At 43.4% G+C, this 25,076-nt stretch overlaps 1 protein-coding gene and 1 pseudogene across 3 annotated transcripts; one reads left to right on the top strand and one right to left on the bottom strand.

Moving 5' to 3' along the window:
- Nucleotides 1-1,607: 1,607 nt before the first annotated feature.
- Nucleotides 1,608-24,597, bottom strand: LOC112268317 (extensin-like). 3 transcript variants are annotated; one of them, XM_047442804.1, is made up of 4 exons: nt 24,320-24,597; nt 18,256-18,382; nt 17,659-17,754; nt 1,608-9,975 (listed from the first exon to the last, which is right to left on the bottom strand). In XM_047442804.1, the coding sequence occupies exon 4, from the start codon at nt 5,992-5,994 to the stop codon at nt 3,013-3,015; it is 2,982 nt and encodes a 993-aa protein (XP_047298760.1). In that variant the 5' UTR covers nt 5,995-9,975; nt 17,659-17,754; nt 18,256-18,382; nt 24,320-24,597; the 3' UTR covers nt 1,608-3,012. The 3 variants fall into 3 exon arrangements, with proteins under 3 accessions (XP_047298760.1, XP_047298761.1, XP_047298762.1); XM_047442805.1 differs by having other exon boundaries at nt 23,710-24,500; XM_047442806.1 differs by lacking the exons at nt 17,659-17,754; nt 18,256-18,382; nt 24,320-24,597 and adding an exon at nt 16,501-16,518 and having other exon boundaries at nt 1,608-6,318.
- On the top strand, nt 23,732-24,353 carry LOC124905333 (uncharacterized; annotated as a pseudogene).
- Nucleotides 24,598-25,076: the final 479 nt, after the last annotated feature.

Below are 25,076 nucleotides of genomic sequence, written 5' to 3' on the forward strand. Positions count from 1 at the left end.
GCCAAACGCTCCGGCCGCTGATCCGCTCCGCGAAGATCTGAGTACAGGCCAGCCAGGGTGGGTTTAAATAGCCTCGGGCGCAGCCTAGCAGCGGAAAGGGCGGAGCTTCACTCCTCCTTTCCATCAGTCACCCCCAACTTTCCCAGGCTACACCTCGTAGGAAACTGTTCTCCTGCTTTGATTTCATGCGCCACCTTTGGGACAATCTAAGAACTTACAAGTTTTCTTGGCCAGAAATATTAGGAATTGTATGCACTGAAACACTGAAAACCCACTAGTGGTTCTGTGGTTCCCACGTTGTGGTTTTGACACCAGCAGCATCCTTGCCACAGTCAAACGCCGGAGATCCGCAGATCTGTGTTGTAACAAGACCTCCCCCTGACCCTGATGCATGGCAGTTGAAGAAGTCTTTCCGTGTAAGCGAAAAGACTTTGAAGAAAAGGTGGAGATATGCGTTGTATCAACATCCTTTTGCTCTGGAACCACGTAGAGACTTGGGAGCCAGTTGGGTGGAGCATTCGTTGGATGAGGGTGCTCGGGTTAGGAATATCAAGGTGTGGCTCCAGATAATCCAATCATCTAATTAAGATTCCAGTTATGCTCATCTGTTTTAAAATTCCGTTTGGGTAAATTCTTTTAGTCAGACTGAGAATGGCAAAGCCTCAACCCCAATTTCCAGGGAGGGTGGAGAGCCCCAGGTGGTTTTGATCACCAATAGCCTATGGTTTAACCCATCATGCCTATAGAATGAGGTCTCCATCATAACCCAAAAGGACTGGGTTCAGAGAGCTTCTGGATAACACTTCCTGGAAGGTAGTGCGCCCCTCCCCACATGCCGGGCCCCACATTTATTTCTGAACTTTGTGCAATGTCCGCTAAAATACAATGGCAAATGTAAGTGTTTCCCTGCGTGCTGTGAGCTCTTCCAGCAAATGAATGCAACTAAATCTGGGAGTGGTGGCAACCTGATTTATAGCCAGTGGCTGAGAAGCACAGGTAAAGCAACGTAGGGCTTCCCATTGTTATTAGTGTGGGAGGCCTGTCTGGCGGGACTCGGCCCTTTGGAATCTAATGCTATGTCCCGGTAGATAGCGTCACCATTGAATTAGAAGACACACATATGTTGAGAATAATCATTCTGGTCATTTGCTGCATGTCTTATCGACAATATGTAATCACATCCTTTATCCTGACCTTATGGCACCTGGGTTGAGAACCATGATTTGAACCAGACGTTGGTCTGTCACTTTCTCAGTTTGAAACTTTATTTTGCCTTTAGCGTTTTGCTATTGCTTTTTCGTTGTCTTTTGTTTCGTTTCGTTCCTAAGTTCTGGGGTATATGTGCAGGATGTGCAGATTTGTTACTAAGGTAAACGTGTGCCATGGTGGTTTGCTGCACCTGTCAACCCATCACCTAGGTATTAGGCCCAGCATGCAGTAGCTGTTTTTCTTAACGCTCTGTCTCCCGGAAGGCCCCAGTGTGTGTTGTTCCCCTTCCTGTGTCCATGGGATCTCATTTTTCAGCTCCCATTATAAGTGAGTTGTGGCGTTTGGTTTTCTTTTCCCTGGATAAGTTTGCTGAGGGTAATGACCACACATCACCACTGTTTTTGTTTTTTAGTATAAAGAGTAGTATTTTATTGAATAAGATTTGCTCACAGAAAAATAAGCTTACATCTACAATGAATGCCAGACCCTACAGCAGAAAGCCATTTTCTCACTTTTCCACACACAATGGTTCCTACTAAGTGAAAAAAAAGCCATAAAATTTCATTCACAAATGTACTACTCTGTCTCAAAACATCGCACATAATCATGCACTGTACTAAAGCCATTAGATCAGTTCTTCAGTCAGGTTAAAGAAGTATCCCTCTAATAACTGACTTTTATAATGCTATCAATATCCACTCCCAATCAGTCTGCCATTGTTAATGGTGTACAGCATTACTGAATACAATGGAATTGATGACGCCCATATCCACGGACAAACCGTGACTTATGATGGTTTGATTTACGATTTTTCAACGTTATGATGGGTTTACTGGAATATTAGATGCGTTTCTGAGTTACACTGGGTTTATGAGTATGCGACCCTATACTCCAGAAACAGCTGTATAAGGAAAAACAGGTTTACCTAATGAAAATATGCTTAGTGACTTGGGATAAACCAATAGATGTTCACAACTGATGGAGAGCCGTGAAAGAGAGATAACGGTAAATAGTTACAATAACACAATTTTCCTGCACCTGTCGAGGATTTCCCCAAAGAAACGCAGAATGTGGGATGCACCTAAGGCATAGGAAAGAGAGAGGGCAGAAGGAGTAAGAGAGAAATAGGAGGAAGGAGGGAAGGAAAGAAGGAAGTCAGGAAGGAAGGAAGGAAGGAAGGAAGGAAAGAAGGACGTAAGGAAGGAGAAAACACCGGTGTTACTAAAAGCCCCCAAAAAAATGGTTTCCCCCTGTGGGTAAGCCTACAATGTGGACGAATCTTGAAAATATTGTGCTACGTGTTATGTCAGTCATAACAGCTCACCTATTGTGCAATTCCGCTTATAGGAAATGTCCACAATATGGTAATCTATGCATATGGGATTGATCGCACTAGGTAGTTGCTACCTAGGGCTGAGGGTCAGGGAGAGGGTTTGAGACAGAATGAGGAGTGACTAATGTCTACAGGGTTTTTCTCTGGCCGGGAGTGATAAGACGTTCTACAATGAATTGCGAATTAAATTTGAATGTGCACAACCACAGGTATACTAAAAGCCACTCAATTCACGACTTTTAATTGGGGAATCTTATGTGGCGCACTCTCATAGAGCCCATGGCAGACAAAGTGAGAGAGAAAAAGGTGAGTAAATATCTGAAACGGAGGCAGTAACAGAGAGAATGAAAAGCCCTGTGAATGGAAGGGAGAGCGAAAAGGGAAAATGGTCCTATTTACAAACGACAGATGTGAAATTGGGGTTCACATCAACAGTGTCACTGCCAGGAAGGAGGGTCACGCTAGACACGTCACCGGTAGTTTGGCCCGCAGGAACGCCGACCTGCTGGAGCGTCGTGCCAGCATGGGCTGTGGCAGCCACGTGGGCCAGCAGGGGGTTCCCGCTGCACAGCTGTGGGGTGAGGATAGACTGGGTGGTGATATCGGCCATTACAGGGGCCTCTTCTGCTGGCAAGAGTGTGACAGTAGCAAGTAGATGGACAGGCCTGCGTGTGAGGACGGAATGCAGGAGGGGCTCTTGTGCGGCTGGGTGTGGGGCCCTCCCGGGAACCGTGGAGAAATGGCCAGGTAACTGCGTCATGTGGGCTAATAGATTGGCCAGGGCTTCGAACTGAAGGACAATAACGGGGAGTAGCTGTCAGGCCCTGGGAGTGCCTGAGTGTAAGTGGAGATGGGTTTGGGGTCACTGAGGGATGCGTGGGAGCCATCCCTGTATAGGTACAGGTCATAGGGAGATAGTCTGGTGAGGCCTGTGAGTGTCTAGGGTTGTCCTGGGTGCCTGGGGCTGACTGTGGCAGAAATCTGGGGAAGGCTGGAGAGAAGCTGGGAGACCCAGGAGAGTCCCTGAAGGCAGGGGGTGAAGAGTTGAAAGAAATGGGGGATGGTTGCAGTAAGGTCCGTGAGTTTGCAGGTGATTCCAGGGTGTGGGAAGCTGACTCCAGGTGAAATCTGGAGATGGTTGGAGAGTAGCTGAGAGAGACAGAAGAGTCCCTGAGGGCTGGGGGTGAGAACATGAGGGAGACTGGGGAGTAAGTCAGTGAAATTCGTGAGTTCGGTGGTGTATCGTGGGTGCCTGGAACTGACTCCAGCTGGAATCTAGAGAAGTTTTGAGAGTAGCTGAAAGAGACACAAGAGTCCCTGTGGGATGAGGGCAAAGACCTGAGAGAGACCAGGGAGGAGCTCAGTGAAGTCTGTGAGTCTGTATCTGATTCTGGAGTGTGGGAGGCTGACTCCCGCTGAAATCTGGGCGTGGTGGGAGAGTAGCTGGGACAGACAGGAGAGTCCCAGGGGTCTGGGGGTGAAGACATGAGAGAGACTGGGGAGTAACTCAGTGAAACTGCTGAGTTTGGTGGTGATACATGGGTGCCTGGAACAGACTCCCGCTGAAATCTGGGCATGGTTGGAGAGTAGCTGGGACACACAGGAGAGTCCCTGAGGGCTGGGGGTGAAGACATGAGAGAGACCGGGGAGTAACTGAGTGAAACTGGTGAGTTTGGTGGTGACTCCGGGGTGCCTGGAACTGACTCCAGCTGAAATGTGGGCGTGGTTGGAGAGTAACTGGGACAGACAGGAGAGTCCCTGAGGGCTGGTGAAGACACGAGAGAGACTGGAGAGTAATTGAGTGAAATTGGTGAGTTTGGTGGTGATTCCTGGGTGCCTGGAACTGACTCCCGCTGAAGTGTGGGCGTGGTTGGAGAGTAGCTGGGACACACAGGAGAGTCCCTGAGGGTTGGAGATAAAGACGTGCTAGAGACTGAGGAGTAACTGAGTGAAATTGGTGAGTTTGGTGGTGATTCCGGGGTGCCTGGAACTGACTCCAGCTGAAATGTGGGCGTGGTTGGAGAGTAGCTGGGACAGACGGGAGAGTCCCTGAGGGATGGTGAAGACATGAGAGAGACTGGGGAGTAACGCAGTGAAATTGGTGAGTTTGGTGGTGACTTCTGGGTGCCTGCAACGGACTCCCGCTGAAGTGTGGGCGTGTTTGGAGAGTGGCTGGGACAGACAGGCGAGTCCCTGAGGGTTGGAGATAAAGACGTGCTAGAGACTGGGGAGTAACTCAGTGAAAGCGGTGGGCTTGGTGGTGATCCCTTCGATCCTGGAACTGACCCGCGCTGAAATGTGGGCGTGGTTGGAGAGTAGCTGGGACAGACTGGAGGGTCCGTAAGGGCTGGGGGTGAAGACGTGAGAGAGACTGGCGAGGATCTCACTGAGGTCTGTGAGTTTGTAGGTGTTTCTGGGGTGTGGGGTACAGACTCCCGCTGAAATCTGGGCGTAGTTGGAGAGTAGCTGGGACAGACAGGAGAGTCATGGGTGGCTGGGGGTGAGCTGCTGGATGATGGCAGTAAGAACATATGGTATATTATTGATGAATGAGGTGACTGTGAAGAATCTCCAGAGGAGGTCACGGGAGAACACAATGACATGAGTGACTGTCCTGCTTGGTTAGGAAAGGGAAACGTAAAGTTGTGGAATTCTGTTGATGACGGATGTGAGAGTGCTGAAGCCCTGCGGGATGATGTAGAGGACTTCCACATCCCTGGTGAGGAGCTGCCCCTTGGGTCTGAGTTTCTGGGAGGGGAGAGGGAGAAGCTGGGTGAGGCAGGCATGAATCTTGAGGAGTCAGGGCTGGGGGACCGCTCACTTTCTCCCGAGACCTGTGAGTCTCTGGGGGACTCCTGGGTGCATGGGGCTGACTCCCGCAGGAACCTGGGGATGGCTGGAGAGTAACTGGGAGCCACAGGAGAGTCCCTGAGGCCTGGGGGTGAAGAGATGAAAGACACGGGGGTGGAGCACCGTGAGGCTCGTGAGTTTGTAGGTGATTCCTGGGTGTGGGGGGCTGACTCCAGCTGAAATCTGGCGTTGTTTGGAGAGTAGCTGGGAGACACAGGAGACCCCCCGAGAGCTGGGGGTGAGCTGCTGGGTGATGGCAGTAAGAACATGTGGTATATTATTGATGAACGTGGGGACTCTGAGGAATCCTCAGAGGAGGACACGGGAGAGCCCAATGGCTTCATTGATTGCCCATCACGGTGAGGACAGGGAAATGGGAGCTTGTGGGATTCTGGTGATGACAGAGGTGAGTGTGGTGAAGCCCTAGGGGATGGTGAATGGTAGCTCCGGATCCCTGGTGAGGAGCTTCCCCTTAAGCCTGAGTTTCTGAGAGGGGAGAGGGAGAAGCTGGGTGAGGCTCGCATGGACCTTGGCGAGTTCGGGCTGGGGGACCGTTCATAAGAAGAGCCACACAAGACCCTACTGTTCTTAGGTGCAGACATGATTAGGAAACCTGCAGCTCCCAGGGGCCCCTACTAATGTACTAACTCGCAGAAGGAAGGAGTGTGTGTGCGTGTGTGTGCGTGTGTGTGTGTGTGCGCGTGTGTGTGTTTGTGTGTGTGCGGTGTGAGGTATGTGCCCCTTAAGAAAATGGAAATCAACCAACCAATGAGACAGACAGACAGACAGACAGACAGACAGAGATTCACTTGCCCAAGTGTTCTGTCCTGTCCTCTGAATCCGCTTCCAAGTCGCAAGACGCTGTGAGCTCCAAGTCCACGCAGAGTCCGCCAAACGCTCCGGCCGCTGATCCGCTCCGCGAAGATCTGAGTACAGGCCAGCCAGGGTGGGTTTAAATAGCCTCGGGCGCAGCCTAGCAGCGGAAAGGGCGGAGCTTCACTCCTCCTTTCCATCAGTCACCCCCAACTTTCCCAGGCTACACCTCGTAGGAAACTGTTCTCCTGCTTTGATTTCATGCGCCACCTTTGGGACAATCTAAGAACTTACAAGTTTTCTTGGCCAGAAATATTAGGAATTGTATGCACTGAAACACTGAAAACCCACTAGTGGTTCTGTGGTTCCCACGTTGTGGTTTTGACACCAGCAGCATCCTTGCCACAGTCAAACGCCGGAGATCCGCAGATCTGTGTTGTAACAAGACCTCCCCCTGACCCTGATGCATGGCAGTTGAAGAAGTCTTTCCGTGTAAGCGAAAAGACTTTGAAGAAAAGGTGGAGATATGCGTTGTATCAACATCCTTTTGCTCTGGGACCACGTAGAGACTTGGGAGCCAGTTGGGTGGAGCATTCGTTGGATGAGGGTGCTCGGGTTAGGAATATCAAGGTGTGGCTCCAGATAATCCAATCATCTAATTAAGATTCCAGTTATGCTCATCTGTTTTAAAATTCCGTTTGGGTAAATTCTTTTAGTCAGACTGAGAATGGCAAAGCCTCAACCCCAATTTCCAGGGAGGGTGGAGAGCCCCAGGTGGTTTTGATCACCAATAGCCTATGGTTTAACCCATCATGCCTATAGAATGAGGTCTCCATCATAACCCAAAAGGACTGGGTTCAGAGAGCTTCTGGATAACACTTCCTGGAAGGTAGTGCGCCCCTCCCCACATGCCGGGCCCCACATTTATTTCTGAACTTTGTGCAATGTCCGCTAAAATACAATGGCAAATGTAAGTGTTTCCCTGCGTGCTGTGAGCTCTTCCAGCAAATGAATGCAACTAAATCTGGGAGTGGTGGCAACCTGATTTATAGCCAGTGGCTGAGAAGCACAGGTAAAGCAACGTAGGGCTTCCCATTGTTATTAGTGTGGGAGGCCTGTCTGGCGGGACTCGGCCCTTTGGAATCTAATGCTATGTCCCGGTAGTTAGCGTCACCATTGTATTAGAAGACACACATATGTTGAGAATAATCATTCTGGTCATTTGCTGCATGTCTTATCGACAATATGTAATCACATCCTTTATCCTGACCTTATGGCACCTGGGTTGAGAACCATGATTTGAACCAGACGTTGGTCTGTCACTTTCTCAGTTTGAAACTTTATTTTGCCTTTAGCGTTTTGCTATTGCTTTTTCGTTGTCTTTTGTTTCGTTTCGTTCCTAAGTTCTGGGGTATATGTGCAGGATGTGCAGATTTGTTACTAAGGTAAACGTGTGCCATGGTGGTTTGCTGCACCTGTCAACCCATCACCTAGGTATTAGGCCCAGCATGCAGTAGCTGTTTTTCTTAACGCTCTGTCTCCCGGAAGGCCCCAGTGTGTGTTGTTCCCCTTCCTGTGTCCATGGGATCTCATTTTTCAGCTCCCATTATAAGTGAGTTGTGGCGTTTGGTTTTCTTTTCCCTGGATAAGTTTGCTGAGGGTAATGACCACACATCACCACTGTTTTTGTTTTTTAGTATAAAGAGTAGTATTTTATTGAATAAGATTTGCTCACAGAAAAATAAGCTTACATCTACAATGAATGCCAGACCCTACAGCAGAAAGCCATTTTCTCACTTTTCCACACACAATGGTTCCTACTAAGTGAAAAAAAAGCCATAAAATTTCATTCACAAATGTACTACTCTGTCTCAAAACATCGCACATAATCATGCACTGTACTAAAGCCATTAGATCAGTTCTTCAGTCAGGTTAAAGAAGTATCCCTCTAATAACTGACTTTTATAATGCTATCAATATCCACTCCCAATCAGTCTGCCATTGTTAATGGTGTACAGCATTACTGAATACAATGGAATTGATGACGCCCATATCCACGGACAAACCGTGACTTATGATGGTTTGATTTACGATTTTTCAACGTTATGATGGGTTTACTGGAATATTAGATGCGTTTCTGAGTTACACTGGGTTTATGAGTATGCGACCCTATACTCCAGAAACAGCTGTATAAGGAAAAACAGGTTTACCTAATGAAAATATGCTTAGTGACTTGGGATAAACCAATAGATGTTCACAACTGATGGAGAGCCGTGAAAGAGAGATAACGGTAAATAGTTACAATAACACAATTTTCCTGCACCTGTCGAGGATTTCCCCAAAAAAACGCAGAATGTGGGATGCACCTAAGGCATAGGAAAGAGAGAGGGCAGAAGGAGTAAGAGAGAAATAGGAGGAAGGAGGGAAGGAAAGAAGGAAGTCAGGAAGGAAGGAAGGAAGGAAGGAAGGAAGGAAGGAAGGAAGGAAAGAAGGACGTAAGGAAGGAGAAAACACCGGTGTTACTAAAAGCCCCCAAAAAAATGGTTTCCCCCTGTGGGTAAGCCTACAATGTGGACGAATCTTGAAAATATTGTGCTACGTGTTATGTCAGTCATAACAGCTCCCCTATTGTGCAATTCCGCTTATAGGAAATGTCCACAATATGGTAATCTATGCATATGGGATTGATCGCACTAGGTAGTTGCTACCTAGGGCTGAGGGTCAGGGAGAGGGTTTGAGACAGAATGAGGAGTGACTAATGTCTACAGGGTTTTTCTCTGGTCGGGAGTGACTATAGTCAAAGCAATTTAATTGTACATTTTTAAGTAACTAAAAGAATGTTATTAGATTGTTCGTAAAATAAAGAACAAATAGTTGAGGCAATGAATAACCATTTATCTGATGTTATTTTTGTGCATTTCATGCCTTCATCAAAATCAGTGATATAATCCATAGATACATATATGTACTACGTACTCACAAAAATTAAAATAATAAATAAAATATAAATTTAAAATGAAAAGCGTAAAAACAAACACCACTGGTCCTCGTTTCTTCATAGATATATGAACTTAACACCACGCTGATCACATTGCCTTTGTGAGAATTCCTGAACATAGTTAAGAATTTGTACTACTTCAGTTGAGCACAATGCCAAAAACATGTAGAAGAGAAGAAAAAGCTTATTAGATATGCCCAGCGCAGCCTGACCTCCTCCCAATACAGCATGGTGCAATCCAGGAGAAACTCCCAACTCTATGCTTCTTCCTCAGGAGACAAAGAGAAATGTGGAATATATGTCCACATTCCTGTCTTTTGAGGGACTGTCCGAAGAGGAATTTTGTCTCCCCTGACGTGCCTCCTCTGACGTAGAGTGCTGAAGGGAATGGTGGTATACTTCGTATGACAGCTATGCATATTTCGCATTAACATAAGACGCAATCCTGACGTGGTGCAGTGGCTCACACCTGTAATCCCAGCACTTCGGGAGGCCGAAATGGGCGGATCACGAGGTCAGGAGATCGAGACCATCCTGGCTAACTCAGTGAAACCCCGTCTCTACTAAAATACAAAAAATTAGCCGGGCGTGGTGGCGGGCACCTGTAGTCCCAGCTACTAGGGAGGCTGAGGCAGGACAATGGTGTGAACATGGGAGGCGGAACTTGCAATGAAACGAGATGGCGCCACTGCACTCCACTCCGCCTCAAAAAAAAAAAAAGAAGCAATCCTAAAATCATATCAGAACTGAAGAGACCAGAAGTGCTGAACAACTGTCAAAAAGAGAAACAACATCATAAGCACCATACCTCCTGATTTTAAACACCTATTATAAAGTTATAGTAATTGAAATACTTTATAACTCAATTTTAAAATACCAGTGAAACAGAATAAAGAACACAAATAGTCCCTTGCATATATTATCAAATGAAGAGTAATTTACACATCCATATTCACGGTAGCATTATCTACAAAAGCAAGTAAGTGAAAAGAACTTTTCTTAATAAATAAATGAATAAAGACAATTTCAAATATATAAATAATTAAATATTACTCAGCTTCTTAAAAGCAGAAAATTTTGTTAAATCCACAATAAGGATACATTTTTAAGGCTTTATTTATGTGGAAGAAGCCCAGGAACAAAAGGACAGAAACGATATAATTCCACTTATGTAAGATACCTAAAGTAGTTAAACTCATAGAAACAGAAAGAAGACTAAACTGTGTCGGGGTTAAGTGGAGAAGAAAATGAGTAACTGTTGTTTCATGGACAACCTGTTAGAATGCAAAACAACCCCCCCACCCTTTTTTTTTAAACTTTAAGATCAGAGTATATGTGCAGGTTTCTTATACTGGCAAACTTCTGTCATGGAGGTTTGTTGTACAGATTATTTGGTCATCAAAGTATTGAGCGTAGTTCTCATCATACAACACTGAATTATACAACACATCCTTTCATACCACCTGTAATAAAACTGGAAATCAAAAGCAGAAGCAAAATTGCCAAATCCAAAAACCTGTGAAACTCAACACACTCTTGAACATATTCTTATCTGTGTCAGTTGATTTGATATTGTTAAATGACCATACTACACAGTGATATTCAAATTCAACGTAAGCCTAATGAAAATAAAAATAATACTTTGTGAAAAAGTATTTTTTACAATTCTTAACTTTTACATGGAATTTCAAAGGACCACTGATAGCCCAAACATTCTTAGAAAACAAGAACAAAGTTACATGCACAACGTTTCCTGTTTTTAGAACAGATAACAAAGCTAAATAAAAACAGTGTGGTACTTGCCAGAAGACAAATAGATGATGGAACAGAACACAGAACTCAAAAACCAACCACTGTGTATATGTTCAAATGATCTTCAACAATGTTGCTATAACCACACAATAAGAGAAAGACAGTCTCTTCAATAGATGGTGTTGGAAAACTCTATATCCATATGAAAAAACTGAGGTTGGATCCTTCCCCTGAACCATATACAAAAACTGTCTTGAATGAGTTAAATATTTAAATGTAAGAATTATAATTATACAATCTTTAGAAGAAAATATAGGAAGATTATGACATTGATCCCAGCAATGTTTTCTTGCATGTAACATCAAACACATGAGCAAAAAATTCAAAAGCACAGAAAAGTAAGACTACATTAAATTTATCTCTCCACATTAAAGTTTTAGTAAGAGTCCCACCTAAGCAGCAGAAAAGCCAAAATATACATATATTTGACAGAAGATAACATCCAGAACAACTCCAAAAAAAAAACAAAAATTTACATGACTAATAGACAAGAGATGAAAATGTTTCTCCAAAGATGAAATACACAATTATTGAAAAAAAAATTCTAATCTTTAGAAAAATGTAAAGAAAAACCACAATGAGGTATTACTGTGTATTAAGATGGCCAATATCAAGCAAACAAAAAATAATATATATTGTCAACAATGTAGAGAAATTGAAACCCTTGTACACTGTTGGTGGGAAAAACGTGATGCAGCCACCTGAAAAATGTATGGAGGTTCCTCCAAAAATTAAAAATAAAGTTACTGTATGACCCAGTAATTCCACTTCTGAGCATCTATTTAAAGTATGCAATGTATACCTGAAAGAAGTATTTGCACATCCATATTCACTGTATTAGTTTATTCTTGCAGTGCTATAAGAAAATTCCTGAGACTTGGTAATTTATTTTAAAAAGAGGTTTAATTGGCTTATGGTTCTGCAGGCTGTACGGCAAGCATAGCAGCTTCTGCTTTAGGGGAGGCCTTGAAAAGCTTCCAGTCATGGCAGAAAGAAAAGGGACAGAGAGTCATCTCACATGGTGGGAGCAGGAACAAGAGAGCACGAGAGGGAAGGTGCCACATGCTTTTGAAAAATGAGATCTCAGAAGAAGTCACTCACTATGGCAAAGACAGTACCAAAGGGGCTGCTGCTAAACCATTCGTGAGAAGCCAACCCTACGATCCCATCACCTCCCACCAGGCCCACCTCCAACACTAGGGACTGCAACTTGACATGAGATTTGAATGGGGACCCAGATCCAAACTATATCACTTACAAAAGCCAAAAAGTGAAAAAACTCAAACACCCTTCAATAGATGAATGATTTAAAAAGATGTGGCTTATACATACAATGAAATATTCTTTAGCATCAAATGAAAATATCTTGTCAGATGCTACAATAAGGATAAATCTTAAAGCCATTATTTTAAGTGAGATAAGACACCAACAAAGTGACAGTGTATGATTCCATGTATATAAGATATTTTAAATAGTAAACTCCTGGAAAACGGAAGTAGAAAGGTGCTTGCCTATGGTTAGGGTTGTGAAACCTCAGTGGTGCCAAAGATCAAAAAGGGTTATTTGGGAAAAGCAGGCCCTCACCCAGGTGGCCAACTCAAGGGCCCACAGACATGGCTACAGACAAGGAAATGGGGCACCGAGCTTGGTCTTACTGAAGATTACAAAGCAGTTCTGCAACCTCTCTCAAACTCCTTCAGCTATAGTCCAAAAGTGGTCCTTCCCATCAAGTGACCTGCAGGGAAACACACCCAGCCATGGCCCTGGAGGCAGGCCTGCAGATCTTGGCCTCAACTGTGCTCCTTGAAGCAGCCCTGTGACTCAGTTCTAGCTCTCACAGCCACAGTCCATGGCCAGTTGTACACACTCAGGGACCCACATGGAGACTTGTGAAACCTGTTCCCAGGTAGTTAGTAGAAGCCAATCCCATTCATACACATGGTATTTGGGCCATCATATGCAGACAAACTGTAAAACCCTACCCTACTGCCTGCCATATAGATTAATGTCCTCAAGGATATTTAATCTTTCCATGGCCCAGAAAGAATCCATGACTATCCAAATCTCTGGTAATACAACCATCAAAGGCAGACCCCATATCACTCAAACACAGATGTATGGTAAGTTCTCACTTAATGTTCAAAATAGGTTCTTGAAAACTGCATCTTTAAATGAAACAATGCCGCTATATGCCATTTAAACAACAGACCTAGCAGCACCCTTGTGACACAATGGCCAGGCTAGTCTGGAACTCCTGGCCTCAAGTGATCTCCCCACCTTGGCATCCCAATGTGCTGGCATTACAGGTGTGAGCCACTATGCTTGGTCACTTTACATTTATTTTGATTAAGTTCCTTATTTTTATACTATTGCAATTGGAAACTTTCTCTCTTTTTTGGAAAGTTTGTTGTTACTATATGGAAATGCAACAAATATTTGTATGTAGGGTCAGGTGCAGTGCCTCATTTCTGTAGTCCCTGCACACTTTCAGAGGCTAGAGGCCAAGGAAGGTGGATCACTTGAGCACAGGAGTTTGAGATGAGCCTGGGCAACAGAGTGAGACCCTATCTCAAACAAACAAAAAAACCCCACAAGTATTTTTATGTTGGTCATGTATCCTGATACCTTAATGAATGCATTTATTAGTTCAGTTTTTGTTGTTTCACTCTAGGGTTTTGTATATACGCATAATTATATTATCTACAAACAGTAACATTTTTACTTTTATTCCAAGCTGGAAAGCTTTGTTATTTTCCTTGTCTAATTGTTCTGATACAAACTTTCAGTAATATGTTAAGGTAGAAGCTGTGGCCCTGGAGGCATGCTTGTGGATCTTGGCCTCAGCTTTGGTCCCTGAAACAGCCCCATGTCTGTATATTTGAAGGATCTAACAACTCTTAACAGTTTCTATAAACTATGGCAAAACCCCATCTCCACTAAAAAAAACTATCTTTGGCAAGTAAAGATCTCCTTTTATTGGGTCCCCAGGCTGATAAGATTACCTCTGGGGTTGCTGAGAAGAAAGGTCATAGCTGGGTCACAAGGGTGCTGCTGGGTCACAAAACCCCATCTCCACTAAAAATACAAAAAAATTAGCCAGGCATGGTGGTGCGTGCCTGTAATCCCAGCTACTCGGGAGGCTGAGGCAGGAGAATCGCTTGAACCTGAGAGGCGGGGGTTGCAGTGAGCTGAGATTGTGCCACTGTACTTCAGCCTAGGGAACAGAGTGAGACTCTGTCTCATAAAATAAGTACATAAATAAAATAAATTTTAAAATGTAAAGGATGAGATAAAAATGTATACACTAACACAGTTAAGATATTGATGACAGAAATTGAAGTAGGTAAAAATAAATGAAAACATATTCCATTAGGATAACTAATATTGTCAAGGAATATTATCCAAAGTGATATGGAGATTCAATGTCATCCCTATCAAAATTTGAGTGGCATTTTTCACAGTAATAGAAAACACAATTGTAAAATTTAAGTGTTATCTTAAATAACTTAAAATAACCTGAGCAATCTTGAGAAAGAACAAAGCTGGGGACATCATACTTTCTAATTTCAAACTTTACTTAAAGGTCATGGTAATCAAAAGAGTATAGTATGTGCATAAAAACAGATACAAAAACCAATGCAACAGAATAGGGAGCCCAGAAACATATCCATGCATACAAGGTCAACTAATCTTTGACAAGGCCACCAATAATATACAATGCAGAAAGTATAGTCTTGTCAATACATGGTACCAGAAAAACTGGATATCCACAAGCAAAAGAATAAAATTAGACTATACCATAAATAAAATTTTCTTATACCATACCCCAAAATTAACTCAAAATAAAAGACTTAAATGTAAGACATAAAAGCTTAAAACTCCTGAATAAAACATATGGAAAAACCTTGTTGATATTGGTCTTGGCAATTTGGTATGTCATCAAAAGCACAGCAACAGAAGAAAATACAAAAGAGTGGGACTGCATCAAAGTGTACAGCTTCTGTACAGTAAAGGAAAAAACCAAAATTTTAAAAAATCCTACACAATAGAAAAATATTTGCAAGCCATATATCTGATAGTTAATATCCAAAATGTGTAAGAAACTTCTGCAATTCAAAGCAAAACAATAATGATGATAACCTATTCAAAAATAGGCAAAAGGTTAGTTTTGTTTTTCCCACAAAGAAGACATACATACAAGGGAAATCCTGTATGCCACTAGTGAGATATAAATTGATAAAGTCATCATACAAATCAGTAAAAAATAAAAATGAAAGTATCACATAATTCAGCAATACCACCTCTGGGAATACTACCAAAGGAAATAAAATTAGTACCTCAAAGAACAATCTTCAGCCCCATGTTCATTTTAGTTTTGCTTAAAATAGCCAAAAAAATTTATATATATACACACACAGTAGAATACTATTCAGCCATAAAAGAGAAGGAAATCTAGCCATTTACAGCATTGATAGACCTTGAAGACATTACGCTAAGTGAAATAAGCCAAACACAAAGAAACTGCATGTTCTCAGTTAGATGAGGAATCTAAAAATGTAAACTCATAGGAACAGAGAGTAGAATGGTGGTTGTTAGTGCCTGAGGGTGGGAATATGAGGAGATGCTGTTCAAAGAGTACAAATGATTAGTTGTAAGTTGAGTAAGTCTGAGAAAGCTAATGTACATTAGCATTAGATTAGCAAAATAGCATTGTCTTTATAGTAATACTGTAAAGTATGCTTACAATTTGCTACAACAGTAGACCTCAAGTGTTCTTGTGACAAAAAAAAAATGGTTATCTATGTGAGGTAATAAATGTGTTCATCAACTTGACATTTTGTTTCAAAATGTATATGCATATCAAATCATTACATTGTACAAATTAAATATAGTTATATAATTTTATCAGAAAAATCCGTATCACACAAACACAGATGTATGTTAAGTCCTCATTTAATGTTCAAAATAGATTCTTGAAAACTGCATCTTTAAATGAAACAATGTTGTTACATGCCATTCAAACATAACTTGTTTTTATTTATTAAACTCTGGTAAAATTAGTTTTCTTAAACAATATGTTGCTTTACTTACAGTTTCCAAGAACCTATCAATGATGTTAAGCGAGAATTTCCTATACACATATATGACTCATATAGGTATGTGTATGTGTGTGTGACACACAGTTCTACATATAGATAGATTATAGCTCAATGACAGAATCCCAGGAGGCTTCCTACTAAATAAGACAAAATTATAAGATAATAGTTTATCAAGAAATAAGGTAACAATTGAGAGCTTAATATACACTTAGGAATGTTCTAAGCCGGTTAATGACATAGTGCATTTAAGAAATCTAGAAGGCGGGCCAGGCACGGTGGCTCAGGCCTGTAATTCTAGCACTTTGGAAGGCAGAGGTGGGCGGATCACTTGAGGTCAGGAGTTCAAAACCTGCCTGGCCAACATGGTGAAACCCCATGGCGGGCACCTGTAATCCCAGCTACTCAGGAGGCTGAGGCAGAAGAACCATTTGAACCCGGGAGGTGGAGGCTGCAGGGCAGCAGAGGTTGCAGTGAGCCGAGGTCACGCCACTGCACTCCAGCCTTGGTGACAGAGCAAGACTCCGTCTCAAAAAAAAAAAAAAAGAAAAAAGAAAGAAATCTAGAAGGTGAGTAGATACTTTAAACCAGTGGTATCCAATCCTTTGAGTGTGAGGACGTTTTTGCTTATCTGTGGTGATGGGTATCAAAAAAATTATTCACAAACCTATTTCTTGTTTCTTAGCTCATCGGCTATCATTACTGTTTGTGTATTTTATAATTTTAAGTGTGTCCCAAGACAAATCTTCTTCCAATGTGGCCCAGGGAAGCCAAGAGTTTGAAAACCTGTGCTGTAAACTATATTGTAATTTGAAAATTTGAATATATATAGAGTTCAAATTACAAATTTCAGTTTATACAAAATAACATTTTGAAGTAAAATAACATATTTTTTCATATTTGGAAAAACGCTTATTGTTCTGATAAAATTGCTGAGTAAGAGTTTTTGTAGAATTACATTTGCAACCTCTACAGGATTAAAAATCACTAAGCAGGGTGATGCACACCAGCATGGCACATGTATACGTATGTCACTAACCTGCACATTGTGCACATGTACCCTAAAACTTAAAGTATAATTAAAAAAAAATCACTAAGCAGAAAAGATGCAACATCTGTCCTCGGTGTTCCTAAGATTTCTAAACAAAATCCCATTATGTCCACTACTCACCTTACGTATTTTAGGCATGATGCGAAAATAATATTTGAAAAAATACTTTAACATAGAGGTCCTCAATAATACAAATACTCCTATGTCACTAAAAGCAATGGAACAGCAGTCAGATTATGCAGCCCATTATAAGCGATAAAGTGGACATTGGCTCTCCTTGTAAACTTGGAGATCACTGAAGAAAAAAAGGAAATTCTTAGAAGATTTAAGAGCATGGGACAGAAGATGACCCTATTTGTGAATAAGAGAAAAAATGCAGCCTTTTCGGAAATTATTTTTATTGGCGCAGTTTCCCAGACTACATTTGAAGGCCTGGCTTCCTTCCTGACCTCTGGCCTCCTAGCCTGTGTCCTCTCCTTCATTCAGTCTCACCTACCTGGGGGTTTGGCTGCTGTCTCATGTATCTTCAAATTGCAGGGCTCTTTTATTTGCTCCAGACAGGTGACCAGGTCTGGGTTAGAGATCACAAAACCTGTTTTATTAAAAAAAAATTAACATGACTATTGCTGGGGATACTCCAATGACCAATCTATTACTATGCTAAGTAGAATAAAGAAATTATGGAAGACTCCAGAAAATTAATCCAAAAATTGTTTCCTGACAGAATCTTTAGAATACTGAAATATTTTAAATCTGTGGGTTCTAAGTTCCACTACCCAGTACTACTGAATCAAAAATAAGTGGTGCAAATTAGATTTTAGATGTGGAAAACAATATTTTACATCACTGAATTTCTAGAATTACTACTATCCTAGAGTGAAGGACAAAAATTAGCTCAAGAAAAGAGATGGTTTATGCAATGATGAAACATCCTAAAGATTTTCTTTTTACACCAGCAAATCCCAATTTTTTTCTTGTAGAAAGGCACTGAAATTAATTAATGCAAAGCAGAAGCACCCAAGAGACATTCTGCAAAGAAAGAAAATGAAACTCTGAGGAAGTATTAGGAATTATGTATTGAAGTTATCCTCACCCAGGGAGACCAGGTTCCTGTAGTTCTCCAACATCACATCTCTATACAAATTCTGCTGGGCAGGGTCCAGACATTTCCACTCTTCAGGGGAGAATTCTATGGCCACATCCCTGAATGTTACGAGTTCCTGAAAACACATATTTATCATGTCACAGAGTTCTTAATTTGACTATAAGTGAAATCAGAGAACTAGTTGTGACTTATGGGGCTGACTGGAATTATCTGATAAAATAACTTTTAACACAGTAATGTTATCTAAAGTATTGTATAATTCTGAAGAAAAAGGAGGGCATGCCAGCAATTTTTGTTGCTGCAATGGAAATATGGGCTACACTGATCTGTCCCTACCAAAACCAAGCAAAGCAGGTCCTGTGACCTCCTTGAACAAAGGGTGAACTCACGTCTCATTAAAGTAACTGGAAGCCCTCATGCTTGACCCTGGCCTCACTGTAATGTCACACAAGAAACTTAACAGGATCTGTGGGGAGGGAACAGGTGACTGTTTCTCTTCAAACTGCCATGTGATCCTACTGGAAGACTGGGCTGAGAGTCACTTAGCTAAACATTGCCTCTCAAGCTTCAATGTGCACATAAATTTGGTATTCTAGGCCTCACTGTAAGTAACAAAATTCTGCAGGTTTGAAAAGGGTCCATTAATCAGCTTTTTATAGCCAAGTCTCCCATTAATGCTCATGCTCCTCCTAGACCCGTTATAGTACCACTCAGCTAGAGAAAGCAGACACAGCACGCAGAGTCCCTTACCCCAACACCCTTATCACAACACAAATACTTTTCATCCGAAGACAAGACCAGCAATCAACATCCTGAAACGTGGCATTATCTGCAAGCCCTTTAAAGGTTACAGAGGCTGGAGATGGTGGCAATGTCTGAGTAAGTCTGCATTTGAAAAACAGCACATCCACATGCATTAATGCGATATTTGTGGAGCATGTACTATGTGCTCAGGAGTATGTCACAGAGCACTGTGCTGGGAAGCTCACATTATGTGTGTTAATTCTCACAGCATCCTGGGAGGTGGGTACAAAGTGTGTGATACTTCCCAGGATTTAAATGCAGGGCCCAGCATTTCTATTTTTTCTTCTGTTTTCCTATCATTGATTTTTAAAAAATATATAGAATAATAGCTCAATGTAGATAAATGGGAGAGACACAGAAGAAAGTTTTAAGTACAATTCGGGAATTTTTTATTTTTGTGTTTATAGTTACTTTGAGACTTGTGAAAAATCCACTGAAACTGCAAAGATGGAGAACAGGTTGCTGGATGGGATGTCTCTAGAAATACTGGTTTTAATTTTACATAAAATAATTTAAGTACATTAAATTCAAAGTACATTGCCTTTCTCCATTTATCAGCTTTTGTGTTTCAGGAAATTGGGAGCACCAGCTCTGGAGAGGCAGTAGGAATAGCTACTCCAAACTCTGATCTTCTCTAAGCAGTTCTGTGAGGTATTTCAGTGTGGGGTCAGACCTGGACAAGGTTCAGTAGAGGGGGGATCTGGGCAAAGTTGGGACAGAAAATGGGCCCTAGGCTTCTGCTCTCTAGGCCACTAAGTAGTTTCAGTTTTGTCTTTTCTAAGCCTGCCCAAAAGAAATTTGATTCCCAGAGTTTGTGAAATTTTTATCTATTTTGCCACTTCCCCATCTATAACATACAATAACAAGGAATTTAACCAAAACCCTTTTGTTTTTCCAGACCAATTATATTTGAAGTTAAATATTTATTCTTAGCAAGGCAAAAACAATACAAATAATGACTTCTCTTCTGTCCATAAACAGCCATGCAGGTGGTGGTATCAAAACTCACAAAACAATAAAAGGGAAGTAACCCAAACGAAGCTTAAGTCTCCTGTACAGTTTTCATCTTTGTACTGAATACATGACGCTGAATTCAATCATTTATTAATGTGCTCTAGAATGCAAGTTCCTTGATGGTAGGGACCACGACTATTTCATCTCTTTTTCTAATGTCCATATGAAACACTGACCCAGTCTGCACAGGACATCCTCAAATGTCTCAAATACTCACTGATGCTGCTGAGAGTGTCCCCAGTGACCCTGGGCTGATGCCCCCATAGTGATCCAGGCAGGAGACTCAGGCTGACTTTCTGGGGTGCAAACAGAAAATGGAACTGCCCTGATGGAGATGCAGATCCTGGATCTGGATGTGATATCCCCTGTCCCTGATCAGCTAACTCTGAGGTAGGCGAAGGAAAAAAGTACTCTACTCCAGTAACACAGGGAGGCATAGTTGGCATTATGGCTCTGGATATTTAGTGGCCTTGACTTCCCACTGCTAAGGTGCTTGTTTACACTTACAGATTCTGCCACAGTATTGTGTTCACACCAGAAGCCTCTTACTCAGCTGTAGCAGGTCACTGGACAAGATCTGGAAAACTCAAAGGGCTCCACTCTGAAAGTGGGGCTTATGTCTATGCTGACCTCTCATGATGCAGAAAACACCTTCTGTGACTTTTCTGTATCTCTTCAACCCAAAGTCTGGCCCTGTCTTGTGAATCCTGGGCAGAAGCCAGCTTTTATGTGCAGATTCTAGGTGAGATCAATGTGTGCTGCATTCTTGAGTTACAGGAAACAGAGTAAAATCAGAGGAAAGACCTTCTCATGAAGCCTCCTTCAACATATTCTAAAGAATATTTTGAGCTAAAGGGAAAAAGCTGGGGTAAACATAAGTAGAGAGTTTATTTGAGCCAAAGCTTGAAGACTGCAATCCTGGAGTATAAAGTTGCCCTGAATATACACTCCAATTAGAAGCAGTTACAAGCATATTTTTACAGGCAAAAAGGAAGTCAGAGAGGAGATTGATAGAAAGGTGTCAGAAATTCTTATTGGTTTATAGAAGTAACATTGGTTAGTGATTGGCCATATACATAGTTAAGCTATAGGGTATGGGTCATAGTGTCCAGTGTGGCATTATTAGGTTAATTTACAGCCACTTGTGGCAATAGCAAGCAATTTCAAAAGACAAATAGTTCAAGGAGGAGAACAGTATGTGAGTGTGGTCTCATTTTAACACATCTCTGGGTCTGATAAATCTAAAAACTTGTATTTCTCAAATAAAAGTTCTTTTATCAAATCTCAGGACATAAATTCAGAATTTGGAACTGCACATTTAGGTCTTGGAGGGCTGGTGAGCTATGTTTGTGGGCCACAATGTGGCCCATGCCAAATGTTTGTGGGCATGTGGGCAAGGGGAGGTGGGAGGGAGCAGAATTTCTCAGGTTTAATCGATGCGTATGTGTGAATCTGGTTAGGTTTATGGGCCCCATATCTCTGAAATCAGTGTCAGAACGGAAGATGCCAGGAGCACTGAAGGCGGTGAAATAACTGACTGCTGTCCTGAAAAGTTATTTTTGTAGAAATTTAACTGCTCTAGAAAGGACTGTAGATGCCAAGAGAGAGACCATTCTGTTTGCAGATTTAGGAAATACTTTGCTGCACTTTGCCGCACAATTGCAGGTTGTGACTGGAATCCTGAGAAAGAATGTTTTCTCAAGTGAAGTCTGCTCGACATTTTGTGTATAACATCTGGTAATTCTGGACAGTGTGTGGAAAATATAACTAAAAGCAAAATCATCTGCAATCCTAAAAAAGTCTCCACAGTAACAGAACTGCAAGAAAATGTTTTGTTGTATAATTAAACCAAAATATGATGTGCATCACAAGCAATCTAAGAAAATGCAAACACAGAAAGTCACCATAATTAGTTCTCAAGTAGAAGCCTTGAAAGCACCATTTGTCATACACAATTTATTATAATTTCATCATGTAATTTGAGAGGTCATCTGGGTTTTCTAATTTTTTCTAATCATTAAAGAAAAAATAAACATCCACATCTTCGTGACAGGATGTAGATTTGCAATGTGGAGCTAGGTACCTGCTGAAGGCAGCCTCCTAGTCCCCTACAGAAACTGTGAAATAGGGTGTATATTCTTGCTATTTACATTTCAAAGCAATAGTTCCCAGGTCCCAGAAGAAGACAATTTTGAGCCAAAAAAGACAAATGACCTATTTAACTGATAAAAATGATTTACATATATTTCAAAGAAGCAGAGAAAATATTTAAATATAAAAGTTCTCAAACTAAATGCTTTAAGAAAAAGGAGAAGAGCAAAAATTCTTCCCTCGTTCTAAAGAGAAAGCATTAAGCCTCTTCTAATTTGTGTTTGCTCCTACAACAGCCAGGCCAAAAGGCCTGGTTTCGAACTCACTAACGTCTGAATTCTCATAGGCACCTGAGGGATGGACTTGGGCACACCGTGTACACAGAAAAGAGAATTTGTGGGGAAGGAAAAAGCAGAAGAGAAAGGAGCTATCAACAGCCATGGGTGGGAGGCCGGGCGCGGTGGCTCACGCCTGTAATCCCAGCACTTTGGCAGGCCGAGGCGGGAGGGCTCAAGGTCAGGAGATCCAGACCATCCTGGCTAACACGGTGAAACCCCGTCTCTACTAAAAATACAAAAAAAAAAAAATTAGCCAGGCATGGTGGCGGGCGCCTGTAATCCCAGCTACTCGGGAGACTGAGTTAGGAGAATGGCGTGAACCTGGGAGGCGGAGCTTGCAGTAAGCCGAGATCACGCCACTGCACTCCAGCCTGGGCAACAGAGCAAGACGCCATCTCAAAAAAAAAAGCCATGAGTGGGAGCAGAGCAGGACTGACTAAAGCACTGGTTTGTGCCACAGGTACAGGCCGAGGCAGGGCTACGCTCTGATTCCATGTCTACAAAGACAGAAGGGATTAGGATCAGGTGGTCCGGAAGCCTGGGTGGGTGAAGGAAGCAGGTTCCTGCTGTAGATCCGGTCTGCGGTTGAGATGAGCCAGGAGACTTCTGGGCACTGCGTGTGTTTTTGGCAGAAAACGCTAGGCGCAAAGCTGCCATGGGCACAATTCCTGAGGTGGAATCCCGTACTGGGAAGAGTGGGGCAATGCGAATGCCCGGTGGGCGTGCTCAGGAGTGGACTAGCATTGGGTGGGGGCTGGCAGCAGGGTGCAGGGAAGGGATGTTTCTCAGAACTCCTTTCCTCTTTGTTCTGGGTCCCCTCTCTCCCCGGAAGGAGACCTGGAGGAAAAGGACAGTGCCCAGCGGGACAGCACATATGCAGAACCCGGCCGCGCCTCCCGCAGACACCAGGCATCTTTCTCCAGCCCAGGCTCAGCCATGTCTTTCTTCTGACAGAAAACGTGCGGAGTTTCCTCAACACCAGTCAATGCTCCAACCCCAACGCGGTGTCCAGCAACTCACTAACGACACCACCCAGAGTCAGCGCAGACCCCACAAGCTCAGCGCTCTTCCCACAACTGCTCCCGCTGCAGACGCCAGTCCCTGCCTCTGGACACCCGTCTTCATTTCTGAACGCCTGTCTACAAACCAGGGGCGCCCACACCCTCAAGTTCAGCAATGTGGCAGAACTACTCACAGAACTGAGAAGCGCCGTGCGCACCGACACCAGCGTATTCTAAAAGATGTTACTCAGGAACAGCCACGCGGAGGAGGTGCACAGGGCAAAGGGACTGGTGGAATAGTTGGAGCGGGCGGGTGATTTGCTTCGCTTGCTCACACACCTCACAAAAGCCTTTCCTTCAAGACCCGCTGGCAGTCCCCAAACCAGGAGCCGCGGCCGACGCTGTCCCATTAATGAGACCCCGTTTGCTCACATGAACTTTGTTTCGATGGGGCCTCGATCTCATTCCGAACAGGGTAAAGTAGGGACCGGACCCCCGGACCACAGCTCCTCCCAGGCGGGCACCTCGCACGCGGGCGCCGGCGTCTTCCAGATGAGCTCCTCCTCACCCCACGGCCCAGGGAAGGTGCGGGGCTGCGGGCGCAGAACTGCACAAGGAGGGCCGCAGGCTGGGCCAGAGCCGCCGTGCGGGGACCGACAGGAGCCCGGTCCGTCACCGGAGGGGACTGAGGGCTGAGAGGCGGCAGCGGGGACTCCGTTCGCAGACTCGGTCCCGCCGCCGCCATTTCCCGCCGGTTCCGATGAGGCCTCCCCAGCCTCCGGACGCCCTGCCCCGCACACTCACCATTTCCCGACTTCAGGGTATCCGGGAGTCTTAGCTACAAATTGTCCAATACCCTCAGGTCACAGAGCAACGGGAGGCAGAGGCTGTGGCTGAATCACCGAGGCCTCCCGGAGCCGAGAACGCAGAGAGCCGAAGCCCTAAACCAAGCCCTCGCAGGAGCCAGAGGAAAACGCCGCGCCAGATCCCGGAAGCCAACCCCTCCTCTCTGGCTGCGGGCCTGATTGGGCAGTTCTCATTCCGACACTCTGATTGGATATTACTCCAATCCCCGCCCTCGGGCCTTGAGTAACAGAATTTGCAACCATACACTCCACTGATGTGGCAAGAGTGACAGGCTGGGGCCTCCAGGCCCTTTCAGGCGGGGCTTTCTCTCCCGGCTTGGCCTGACGCAGCCCAGGGGTGTTTTTTTTAACCTTGTTGTGTGTAAGGTTATGTCCACTTGTAAAATACACTTACACACAGACGTGCACACACACGCGCACACACACGCGCGCACACACACGCATGCACACATGCATGCACACACACTTTTTCACAAACGGAAGTGATATAATGACAATTATTTTAATATTTTAGATTTCATAACCCTTCTGGCCGCTAGTCTTTTGAGTAGGACACCTGAGATTTTAAGAGGGAAGCAATCCTTTAAAAAATAAAATGTTAATTTGTGAATTTTGCGTTTTTATTAGCCACGTCAAAAATAATATTTAAAGAGTGAAGTTGTTTGTAATAATTTTTAACTCATTGTATCAAAATA

Source organism: Homo sapiens, unplaced genomic scaffold (genome assembly GCF_000001405.40).
Source record: "Homo sapiens unplaced genomic scaffold, GRCh38.p14 Primary Assembly HSCHRUN_RANDOM_CTG21".
Lineage (NCBI taxonomy): Eukaryota > Metazoa > Chordata > Mammalia > Primates > Hominidae > Homo > Homo sapiens.

Bases quoted from the DNA above. Each gene is read 5' to 3' on its own strand.
- LOC112268317 (XM_047442804.1), bottom strand. From the start codon at position 5,994: ATGTCTGCACCTAAGAACAGTAGGGTCTTGTGTGGCTCTTCTTATGAA.